Here is a 12,449-nt window from a genome sequence, read left to right on the forward strand (position 1 = left end):
TAATTATTGATTATGGGGAATTAAAATCTCCAACTATTATTAGAGAGTAGAACTGTCTATTTCTCCCTTCAATTCAGTCAGTTTTTGCTTCACGTATTTTTGGGATCTGTTGTTAGGAGCATATATTTTATAATTGTTACATATTCTTTTTAGAAACTAATGTTTACTTTCCATCAACTTTATTTTCATTTTGCTTAAGAGCCTGTGAAAGAACAGCTTAAGACCACGTAGTGGTTGTTCTTACCCATTCAGTGGCCTGAACAGCGGGAGTTGCAAAGCAGTCTTCAGAGGCAGGCTGTGGGCCAGTCTTCAGTGGGGAATTTCTGAATAGGCACAGAGGGCACCTGTATGCCTTCAAACTGGTCTGCAACCTCAGGTTGAGTGGCACTGAACTCAGAACGGAAGCAGTCCATTAATTTCTCCTTGATCACAGCTTTTTCAGCAGCAGCTTGTGCTCTTCCTTTTCAATCATTTCAGGATCTCTGTAGAAATAGAGATCAGCATGACCTTCCTTGGGATTTCACAGAAGATGGTGCCATGCATGCACAGAACTTCCTGAGTCAGCCTCCACCATATCAGACCCACCAAGTGAGAGCTCTTGTTGTTGCATTGCATGTCAATGTAAACATAGCACAGAGAAGAATCTGTTACACAGAGCAATTGTGGGCAGATTTATGTAAGATGCCTCCGTCAGAGCCTGGTGGTCAGCCTTGGGATTGATAACCACCAGAAGACATGGTTCCTGGAAGGCTGCTTGGATCTGGTTAGTGAAGTTTCCAGGAGTGAAGTGGCCAGAAATAGGAGTGGCTACACTGGCAGCAGCAAACTTCAGCATAGCCTGCTGGCCAGTATTCCTAGAGGATATGACACTGACATCAGCAGGGTTTTCACTGGCAACAATGGCATGAACTGCCACCAGAAGCTTCTCCCAGGTCCTTCTCAAGGAAAAGTGATGGCATACTGATTAGATGTATGATGCCGATGCCATCACTTTTCCTTTTGTAGGCATACTGCTCTATTTGGAGTCAAGGTTGTTGCCACCATAGGTTCCTACTGAAAGGAATTTGAGGACCTCCTCCTTCATTTACAGGACACCAAGGGCTCCAGACGTTGTGAAAGTTTCCCTTTAAGTTATGACACGAATCCAGAACAACACTGTATAGATCCCTTTCTGGGTAGTGCAGAAAGACAACTGTTTACATATTCTTGATGTTTTGACCCTTTTATAAATACATAATGTCTGTCTTCATCTGTTATAACAATTTTTGAGTCTATTTTGCCTCACAGTAGTATAGCCTTCCCACCTCTTTTTGGTTACTATTTGCAAAGAATATTTTTTCCCATCATTTCACTTTCAACTAATTTATGCCTTGGAATCTAAAGCAAGTTTCTTGTGGACAGCACATAGTTGGATTATGTATTTTTATTCATTCTTCCAATCTCCACCTTCTAATCGAAGAATTTCATCCATTTATATTTAGAGTAATTACTGATAAGAAAGGACTTAGTTCTGCCATTTTGCTATTTGTTTTATATTTTCAAATTTGTTTTATATTTCTTATACTTTTTTGTTCCACTATTATTAATTTCTTTTGTGATTTATTTCTTCTAGTGTATCATTTTGATGATTTTCTCATTTATTTTTCTGTATTTTTTTAGTTTTTCTCCCAGTCATTACCGTGGCTATTACAATGATCATATTAACTTTATAATAATCAAGTTTGAGGTAATACCAACTTAGTTTCTTTTTTTTTTTTTTTTGAGATGGGGTCTTTCTCTGTCACCCAGGCTGGAAGGCAGTGGTGTGATCATGGCTCACTGCACCTCAACCTCTTGCGTTCAAGCAATTCTCCTGCCTTAGCCTCCTGAATAGCTGAGGACTGCAGGCATGTAACAGCACACCTGGCTAATTTTTTTTTTGTAGAGATGAGGTCTCGATATGTTGCCCGGGCTGGCATGGAACTCCTGGACTCAAGCAATCCTCCTGCCACCTCAGCCTCCCAAAGTGCTGGGATTACAGGTATGAGCCATCATGCCTGGCCATATTTATTCAAATTTTTTTAAATTTACACATTTTGATAAATTTATACCTAAGTATTTGATTTTTTGCTGCTAATATGAATAATATTATGTTTTCAGTTTCAAATTTCAATCATTTATTGCTGGTATATAAGAAAGCAATTGACTTTTATATATTAACATTGTATCTTGGAACATTGTTATTATCATGTAATGGCTCCAAGAGTTTGTTGTTGTTGTTGTTGATTCTTTGGAATTAACTATATAGATAATCACACAATCTGTGAAAAATGACAGCTTTATTTCTTCCTTTCCAATTTGTTTATCTGTATTTCCTGTTTTGTCTTATTGCATTGGCTAGGACAGTAAGGCATTGAATAAGAGAAATGAGAGGGGGCATCTTTGCCTTGTTCCTTGATCTTTGCCTTGATATTAGAGGAAAAGCAGCTAGTCTCTCATCATTAAGTGTGATGTTATAGGTTTTTGGGTAGATGTTCTTTATCAAATTGTGGAATTCCCCTAAGGTAATAGTTTTATGAGTTTTTATTATTAGTGGGTGTTAGATTTTTGTCATATGCTTTTTCTGCATCTATTGATAGGATTATATGATTTTTCTTCTTTGGCTTGTTGATGTGATGAATTACATTTATCGATTTTCGAATGTTGAACCAGTCTTGCACATCTTGAATAAATCTCGTCTGGTCAGAGCATGTGATTCTTTTTATGCAATGTTGTATTTGATTTTGGTTTCATTGCTGAAAATTCTCCATCAATTTTCTATTTCCAATTTCATTAATTTCTGCTGTAATTTTTATTGTTTCTTTTCTTTTGCTCACTTTCTTTTAGATCTAATTTGCTCTTATTTTTCTAGGGTGAAGGCATAGATTATTGACTTTAGATCTTTTCTGTATTCTAATATATATGTTCAATGCTATAAATTTCCTTCTAGGCATTGCTTTTACTGCATTCTGCAAATTTCAGTAAGTTGTATTTTCATATTAATTTAATTCAAATATCTTAAAATTTCTTTTGAGACTTCTTTGACTTGTGTGTTACTTAGAAATATGTTGTTTAATTGCCAAGTATATTGGGGTTTTTCAGCTATCTTTCTGTATTAATTTCTAGTTTAATTCCGCTGAAGACCGACAGCATACTCTGTATGTTTTCTATTCTTTTAAACTTGTTATAGTATGTTTTATAACTCAGAATGTGGTCTATATTCATAAATATTCCATATGAGCTTGAGTAGAATGCATATTCTACTGTTGTTGGGTGAAGTATTCTACAATGCCAATTAGATCCAGCTGATTGATGGTGCTGCTGAGTTCAACCATGTCCTTATTGATTTTTTCCCTGCTGGATCTGTCTATTACTGATAGAGGGCTTTTCAAATTTTCAACTATAACAGTGGATTCATCTATTCCTATTTTCAGGTCTATTAGTTTTTGCTTCGTGTATTTTATTTTATTTTTCATATTTATTTATTTATTTATTTTTGAGATGGAGTCTCACTCTGTCACCCAGACTGGAGTGCAGAGGAGTGATCTCGGCTCACTGCAGCCTCTGCCTCCCAGGTTCAAGCGATTCTCCTGCCTCAGCCTCCCCAGGAGCTGGGACTAGAGGCGTGTACCACCATGCCTGGCTAATTTTTGTATTTTTTGGTAAAGACAGGGTTTCACCATATTGATCAGGCTGGTCTAGAATCCTGACCTCAAGTGATTCGCCCACCTCAGCCTCCCAGAGTGCTGGGATTACAGGCATGAGCCACCACACCCGGCCCTGAATTGCACACTTTAAAATGGTGATTTTTCTTTTTTCTTTTCTTTTTTTCTTTCCTTTTTTTTTTTTTTTTTTTTTTTTTTTTGAGATGGAGTCTCGCTCTTTTGCCCAGGCTGGAGTGCAGTGGTGCGATCTCGGCTCACTGCAACCTCTGCTTCCCAGGTTCAAGCGATTTTCCTCCCTCAGCCTACCGAGTAGCAGGCATGCACCCCCATGCTAGGCTAATTTTTTTATAAAATGGTGAATTTTTAATATGGAATTATATCTAAATAAAAGTGCTAAAACCCCAAAATGATATCAGATGTTGAATTGTAGGTAACATCTTATAATTTCTACTGGAATTTTAAGGCATAGTATCTAGAAATGATTTACATTGTAGCATAATTCAAGACTGATAACTCTCTAATCAGTACTTAAGAATTTATACTTTGAACCTTATGAAAAAATAAAGAAAAACAAGAATTTGTACGATATTTTCACTGTTTCAGGTAAGAGTGAGCCTGGAAGGAGTTGGGGAAGAACACACCAGCTTCAGCCTAAATTATTTTTCTCTATTTAATTTGCATATGTTTTTAGCAGGCATTTTAGTAGTCTCCAGTCCAGAAGACATATCATATTCCTCACCTGTGGGGAGCAAGAGTTGGGCAATTCTGAGTCAACATGGCATGCTCAGTTCCCACTGGGTAAATCCGGTAGAGACGGACACGGATATACACACACTCACACACACTCAGCAGAAAGGACTACTGTCCTAAAACTTCTGTTTGACATCAGGGCCCAAACAACATTAAGGCGGTACTCATCTAGTGTGTTAAAAAACAAAACAAAACAAAGCAAAACAAAACAAAAATAACCCTGTTTTTTCTCTGCAGTGGACACCATCTGGGCATCCTCTAACCCAATTCAATTCTGATGTTACCTACCTGGAGATAGCATTAGATCCCACAAGTTGCAGTCTCTGTCCCATAAGACTGTCCCCGCTTCAGACACCAGTGGCAAGTCTCGGCCTCTGGAACTTCTGACCAACCGGCTTCAGGTTAAGATTCCCAAAACCCCTTATTCAGGCTTCATTAATTTGCTAGAGTGGCTCACAAAACTCAGGGACACGTGTGTACTGGCTTATTATGAAGAATATTTTAAAAGATACAGGTAAGCAACCAGATGAAGAGATACATAGGGCAAGGTCTGAAAGTGTCCCGAGCACCGGAGCTCTCGTTCCTGTGGAGTTGGGGTGTACTGCCCTCCCGGCAAGCTGATGAGTTCTTGTTTACCTTCTTGCAGGCCTCCATGAGTTTACCTGTCCAGAGGCTCTCTGTGTCCCATCCCCTTGGGCCTTTTATCAAGATGTCATTAGATAGGCAGGGCTATCATGGACAACCATGTAAAAATGTGATTGAACAAAAAGGGTATAATCTAACACTATTAGACTGAGTAGGGAAACCCAGCAAGGCCTGACTATTCAGATTCTTCTTGGCCTCTCTGTGCAGCATTTCTTCATCCTGGGTATGGGGGAGGACCCCTTCTGAATTGGGGTCTTATTGAGGTAGAGACCCACAGGATTTATTTCCCTGGTCCTGACAGATTAAAGTGAAGAAACGCAAAAACCAGCAGATGGCGACAAAAGCGATCTCTAGCTGCTCTCATTGCTCATTAGTATAAGACGCTCCCACCCAGTGCCACAGTTTACAAAATGCCATGGCAATGGCCCAGAAGTTACTGCTCCTTTCCTAGAAAGTTCTAAATAACCTACCCTTCAATTTGCATTAACCCACTCCCTAATTTGTGTGTAATTGAAAGTGGGAATAAGTGAGTATAAATATAGTTGCCAAGAGCTCATATGTTGCTGATTCTGGGTGCACTGCCTTTGATTTAGCCCTGCTCCACAAAGAGCAGTACTGTTCAAAAACAGGTTGTTGCCCAACACCACTAGCTCACCCTTGATTTATTTTTCGGGGTGAAGCCAAGAAGCCTCCCTGGCTAAGCCCCAAATACGGGAGCTTCCCATTCCTGCATCATTATGACCTACAGTCAGACAAGGTAAATCGGAGAATTTACTTATGGCCACCTCCAAGACAGAAAGGCAGGGGAAAACTAGAGTATATTTTTAGTTTATGTGGTCTGCCTTGGAGAGAAAAAAGGAGTAGGTGAAAGGAGAGCAAGAGAAGGTCAGGGAGAGAAATTCTGTCTTTTGAGGCCTGCTTCTGAAGCCTGAAAGAGCCCCAACATACACGGAAAGACAGTCTTTTTTTTTTTTTTGAGACAGTTTTGCTGTGTCGCCCAGGCTAGAATGCAGTGGTGCGATCTCGCCTCACTGCAAGCTCTGCCTTTCGGGTTCACGTCATTCTCCTGCCTCAGCCTCCCAAGTAGCTGGGACTACAGGCGCCTGCCACTACACCCAGCTAATTTTTTGTACTTTTAGTAGAGATGGGTTTTCACCGTGTTAGCCAGGATGGTCTCGATCTCCTGACCTCATGATCCACCCGCCTCAGCCTCCCAAAGTGCTGGGATTACAGGTGTGAGCCACTGCGCCCGGCCAAGAAAGACAGTCTTTTATGTTTATGGTTCTGAAGCTGTTCCGAAACAAAAGGCCAAATACTTTAATCAAAGATATGCTGATTGTTCTAGCCACTTAGGAAATAACAAAGGCTATGGGAATTATGAGCCAAAAACCACAGATGAATATGTGTATCTCACAGTACCTGTAAGTATAAAATAAAGAAAGAGGTTTTATGCACACCTTTTTTTTTTTTTTTTTTCAGAGAGACCTGCCTCGGCCTCCCAAAGTGCTGGGATTATAGGCGTGAGCCACCACACCTAACCTTTATCCACTTTGTTAGGGACAGAGTGGGTCTCTGGCTCAACAAAAAGCCCAGATAAATCAATGGGGCTTTGGCATATTAGGTCAGCAGAAGGGAAAAGGCCAGTAGAAGGGACAGCAGTATGCAGTAAACATGGAAGTACCTAGGGGAGAAGGAAGGAGACACAAAAGTTGGAGGCACCTGTAAGCCAACTGGACTTGTTTCTGAATACAGTTTAGATAACCTGTAGACACATCTATGCCTGACGGTATTCAGAAATAAAATCAGTAAAACTTTCAACACGACAGCAGAGCATTAAACCAGGAGTAGAACTCTTCTGACATCAGGGCCCTGTGCCACAGCACAAGTCATATACCTATGAAACCTTCCCTGGCTGTGTGTGTTGGCTGATAACAACTTACATCTTTTTTCGGGAGGAGTGAGGGGACAAGGTCTCACTCTGTTGTCCAGGCTGGAGTGCAGTGGTGCTGTCATAGCTCACTGTAGCCTTGACCTCCCGGGCTCAAGCAATTCTCCCTCCTTAGCTTCTCAAGTAGGCGGGACCAAAGTTGCGTGCCACCACACCCAGCTAAATTTGTGTGTGTGTATGCGTGTGTGTGTGTGTGTGTGTGTGTGTGTGTGTATGGAGATGGGGTTCTCCCTATGTTGCCCAGGCTGGTCTCAAACTCCTGGGCTCAAGCAATCCTCCTACCTCAGCCCCCCAAATTGCTGGGATTACAGGCCTGAGCCATACAACTCACATTTTACCTCTTCTCCAGGGAATTGTTCTCTGCCAAATGGGAGCCACCTTGCTCCAGAGACTATGCTCTGCTCCACCTACAGACTTTGATCTGTGACTGACGCTGAGCTACAAAAAGCCAGTGACTTACTGTCAACGTGGGATGACTTGTGTGTGCTTCAGAGTTTTCAGGTGCGATTAACTAAACTTAATCTCTAGTTAAACCCCATTCTTCATCACTGCCCTGCTCCCCAGCCCTGTCCTGCTGCCTTTACTTCCTTTAACCTGAGAGAGCATTACAAGAAACTACATTCATAAGGATCTCTGTTCCAAGTTCTGCTTCTAGGGAGCCCGACCTAAAATAGGAAGGGTCTCTTTATAGAAATATTTCAGCTAAAATCCCAAAAAGAGGAAAACAGAAAGAGTCTTTGCTTTCCCTTGGACAAACTTGAATTGAAATTGAACCCAAATTCCAGGATGCTTTTCTAGAATTAGTTACCATCTTATAGGAACCACAGAGTAAAGAGATAATGTGTTAATGACACCACTGAGATCCAGACTGTAGGAAAATACAGAACAAATGACTATTTCATCAATAATTAAAGAAAAAATTAAAAAATGAAAACCCACAGATTAAAAGAAATTTAGGAAATTTGGCAACCAATCAAAATGCGCATATCTTATTTGTATCTTGATTCAAACAAACTGTTAAAAAAAACTATAATACAATTGGGTATTTGAACACAGATTAGACATAAAATGATATTAAGGAATTGTGAATTATTAAATGTGACAACAGTATTGTGGTTATATGCTAAAAAGAAGAAAACCCTTATCTTGTAGATACATACTTTGAAATATTTATGCCTAAAGTGATATTATGTCTAGAATTTGCTTCAGAAATAATTTTAAGGTTGGGAAGCGGGTAAGATAAAGACGAAATAAGATTGGCCATGAGTTGTTAACTGTGGAATCTGAGTGAGGACTAGTACATGGGGTTTGCATTATACTATTCCATTTTTCCAAATGTTCGAAATTTTCCATTAAAGTTAAGATAAAGTTAAACTATAAAGACTGTTTCTTAAACAAAAAAGGGGCCGGGCGCTCACGCCTGTAATCCCAGCACTTTGGGAGGCCGAGGCGGGCGGATCACGAGGTCAGGAAATCCAGACCATCCTGGCTAACACGGTGAAACCCCGTCTCTACTAAAAATACAAAAAATTAGCCGGGCGTGGTGGCGGGCGCCTGTAGTCCCAGCTACTCGGGAGGCTGAGGCAGGAGAATGGCGTGAGCCCGGGAGGCGGAGCTTGCAGTGAGCCGAGATCGCGCCACTGCACTCCAGCCTGGGCGACAGAGCGAGACTCTGCCCCACCCCCCAAAAAAAGGAACAGAACAGAAAGGTATTAAGAAGAATTAGAAAAAAAATCCACTGTCCTTGACTCATTTCCTGTCCCCCCCCAAACGTTCTGGTGTGGAGAAAAGGATGAGCATTGGTAACAAGTACCACAGTTTGCCATTGGGGTGGGCGGGACTGATGCTCTCTTTATTTAAATTTTTGACATCTTGCTCATCATAAATTTTCTTGCAATAATTGTTTTTTAAAATGTTGCATTAAAATGTTATTTTTCTTGACTGCTGAGGAATTTTGCACCCCTTTAAATTCTGCGCCCGCGTCCTGGTTGGGAGATGTGGGGAAAATCCTGGGAGCCCAGGACAGGGAGAGGCAAGTCCCCACAGAAGTGGGAATGGCCAACAGCTCCCTGAGAAGACAGCTTCCCTCTTGGGGAGGCAGAGGAAGTCCCAAGAATACACAAAGACAGGAGAGTGGAAGGGCCGGCCAGTCTGGAGATACTAAAAGAGACTCCGGATGAGGATAGGGGCTGACCCGAAAGCCCCGCCTGACTCCGGGCTGCAGGAGGGGGCGTGGGACGGGGGCGGAGCCGTTGGCGATGACAACAGCCCCACGTGACCGGCCAACACTGAGTGTTGTCTCGCTCTGGCGTCAGAGCCGTCGTGGCTCGTTCCATTCTCGGCGGTGGTACCTGCTCCCGGTGGCCCTGAGGACGTGTGGGCCAGGGGCGGCCCCGAAATTAGGAAGCGGAGGGGGAGCAGGTAAGGAACCCGGCGGGGGGTCCCTGGGGTTGGTGTGAGGGAGTGGCTCCGGCCTGCGGATGCCCACCCCGGGGGAGCCGTGCGGAGAAGCAATCGGTCCGCGATGCAGCCCCCGGGCCCCGCGGCGGGCCCGCGAGCCTTCCTTGAGCGGAGAGGTGCCCGGCCCGGAGGGAGCCGGCGGTCCTGGGGCTACGACCCTTCGGAAACACCTGCCTACGCCATCAGCGCAAGCTTTTCCGACACCCCTGCCCCGCACTTCTTGGTGCAGAAAATGGTGGTCAGCTTGCGGGGCGGGGCGGCTGAGGCGGGGGGCGAGGGTGGCGAGGAGGGCCAGGGCCAGGGCCAGGGCCAGGGCCTCGGGGCGGGGCGGGGGAGGGGCCGGATGGCGGTAGTTCCTAGCTAGCGTTCTGCTGCAGCAGCCCCCACTTCCCCCACCCCGGCAGTCTGCAGGTCTGCGGGGCTAAGTGTCGCGGCGGCGCACCTCGCGTCAAGAATCCGGAGGAGGAGACTGCAAGGATAGGCCCAGGTCGGTGCGAGGGTCGGTGGTGAGGCGGGGGCCGGAACGTGAGGAAAGCCCAGTCTGAGACCCTAATCCATGCCTTCACCCTCGCCCCCCTCTACCCCATGCAACCCTCCCCTTCCCACACGCCATCCTCGTCCTCCATTTTGCTGCCTGCGGAAGCCTGGAGATGGATCTACAGGGAAAATGGTGGGCTTTGCGGAAGGGAGGGGCTCGGATTGAGGGCACCCCACAGGGCATACTGGCTTCTCAGGTGGAAAAAAATGAAATGTTAGAGTATAAAGTCAAGTCCAGGGCTCTGAATTTTAAAAGGTGCCTAGTAGGGCCTCTGTCCTCAGTGCTTATCAGTCCACCAAGAATTCAGCCCATTTTCTCTCTCTTGTCTCCTAGGAGTAATGGAGTCCAAAGAGGAACTAGCGGCAAACAATCTCAACGGGGAAAATGCCCAACAAGAAAACGAAGGAGGGGAGCAGGCCCCCACGCAGAATGAAGAAGAATCCCGCCATTTGGGAGGGGGTGAAGGCCAGAAGCCTGGAGGAAATATCAGGCGGGGGCGAGTTAGGCGACTTGTCCCTAATTTTCGATGGGCCATACCTAATAGGCATATTGAGCACAATGAAGCGAGAGATGATGTAGAAAGGTTTGTAGGGCAGATGATGGAAATCAAGAGAAAGACTAGGGAACAGCAGATGAGGCACTATATGCGCTTCCAAACTCCTGAACCTGACAACCATTATGACTTTTGCCTCATACCTTGAATCCTAAAAGTTTTCGCTGAGGTTAATGTGAACACTGCTTTACAAGCTTGTATTTTTGTGATTTACTTTTTCTGTAAGCCTTTTGGGGTTTACACTTACCAGTTTCTAATGGAAATTAGAATTCTAATTGAATATTGTTTTGTCTCAGCCTAAAAGTTACGGTCAGCATGGCAATTCACCTATTTTAGGAAAAATACTCTTTTCATAATATGAAATGCATAAAGCAGTTCAAAAAGCAGTCTGTATTCCATCATCTTCCTTTTTCATTCCAGTCCTTATTTTTGTAAGTATTACTTTTCCTCCTCCGGCTACCTGGACTCAAAATCTCAGTTGTCTTTGACAGTTTTTTTCTTGTCCCTGACCAAAAAAGAATGATCATACCCAGAATTCAATGTTTGATATTTTAAGAATGTATGTTCTAGTGTTTTTCAGAGTGAGTCTACCATCTGTATAAAAACACCTTGGGGGCAGGCAGGGGCATTTAAAAATGTAGGACCTATCGTCCAGACTCACAGAGTGGGGCTCCAGAATCTCCATTTTTAACAAACTCTCTTAAGTAATTCTGATGTGTACCAAAATCAGTGCCATTGGTGTGTGTGTACGTAACTATATACATATGTGTGTGTGTGTATATATATAATGTGTCATAACCGTAAACAATAAACAATATCAAGATAAATCTGACTTTGATGGGCAAGTAATTAAAAAAGAAAAGTATGAGACCTTAAAATAAGACTGATGATTATAGGAGTGGTAGGGACAGTGGCAAAGTTATTCACTGTGCAAAGCAAAACATGCCTGAAGGTCACAGCCTGAGGAACTCAGAATTCATCACCCCTGTCAGCAGTTTCACATCCAGGATCTCATTTTATTCTTAGAACAACCTATAAAATCTGTATTGTTATCCCACTTTTACAGATGAGGTCACTGGGGCTTAGAGATGTTAAGTACCAAGGCTAACTCCTGCTGAATATCTTGGGGGTGGGGGAATCCAGCCTGGGCCATTTTCTATTGGACCTTATCATCTGGAGATGCAGAATATTTGACTTTTGTAACTTGATGACAAGCTGAGGATGGTAAAAGAGACTCAGCAAGAATGGGGCTGTTTTTCTATACACTGTTTTTCTACATCTCAAGTACACTTTAATTTTTAGAATATTGAGGGATAAAAAAAGTAAGATCCTCTAGTGTTGTTCAAAGTTAGGATTGCCACTCTATGGCTCTTGAAATCAGTTTTGTGGGTTACAACAAGCAATTTTTTAAAAAGAGAACAAAAGTCATCCTATCACCCGTGAGTAGTGTTAAGAATTGTTTTGGAGAAAATAATGTGTTCTATGTAGTAAATATTGCCACCTTTATGATGTATTTCTAACTAGATCACAGTGAAAAAAGAATGAAAATCACTTATTTGGTGCAAACTTGGTTTCACAAGTGAAGAATTGTTAAGAAAGCGATTTTTCCTAAGGTCATACAGCCAATTAGTGAAAGCTGTGACCACAGCCTTGGTGCTTCAGGGTGCTTGTCTTCTCACCACATTGCCTCCACAAAGAATTATTTGGAAATTTTTGCATTATGTACTGATTGCCAATCAGTGTAAATGGAAAAGCATATACAACTTATGCAAAAATCACTTTATATGAACTTCACACTATTTAGTCATCAGAATTCCTGCATGTTCAACTGAGAACCACATTTAAGGGAAACTCTGCCTCAGATAATTTTGG

The 12,449-nt window shown here is 42.8% G+C and overlaps 1 protein-coding gene and 1 pseudogene across 2 annotated transcripts, besides 1 other annotated feature; one reads left to right on the top strand and one right to left on the bottom strand.

The window, feature by feature from the left end:
- Window positions 218-1,108, bottom strand: RPSAP59 (ribosomal protein SA pseudogene 59; annotated as a pseudogene).
- Window positions 5,288-5,571: a transcriptional cis regulatory region, noted in NCBI's record as "candidate enhancer chrX.1663 targeted for multiplex CRISPR interference". NCBI's record gives its function as "positively regulates BEX4 gene expression in K562 cells {active_cell/tissue: K562}" and the evidence as "EXISTENCE:mutant phenotype evidence [ECO:0000015][PMID:30612741]".
- Window positions 9,301-11,455, top strand: BEX4 (brain expressed X-linked 4). Of its 2 annotated transcripts, NM_001080425.4 has the most exons (3): window positions 9,317-9,447; window positions 9,891-9,973; window positions 10,358-11,455. In NM_001080425.4, the coding sequence occupies exon 3, from the start codon at window positions 10,363-10,365 to the stop codon at window positions 10,723-10,725; it is 363 nt and encodes a 120-aa protein (NP_001073894.1). In that variant the 5' UTR covers window positions 9,317-9,447; window positions 9,891-9,973; window positions 10,358-10,362; the 3' UTR covers window positions 10,726-11,455. The 2 variants fall into 2 exon arrangements, with proteins under 2 accessions (NP_001121160.1, NP_001073894.1); NM_001127688.2 differs by lacking the exon at window positions 9,891-9,973 and having other exon boundaries at window positions 9,301-9,447; window positions 10,358-11,409.

Source organism: Homo sapiens, chromosome X, assembly GCF_000001405.40.
Source record: "Homo sapiens chromosome X, GRCh38.p14 Primary Assembly".
In the NCBI taxonomy this organism is placed as follows: domain Eukaryota; kingdom Metazoa; phylum Chordata; class Mammalia; order Primates; family Hominidae; genus Homo; species Homo sapiens.

Excerpts from the sequence above, each read along its gene's own strand:
- BEX4 (NM_001127688.2), top strand. The coding sequence starts at position 10,363 with ATGGAGTCCAAAGAGGAACTAGCGGCAAACAATCTCAACGGGGAAAAT.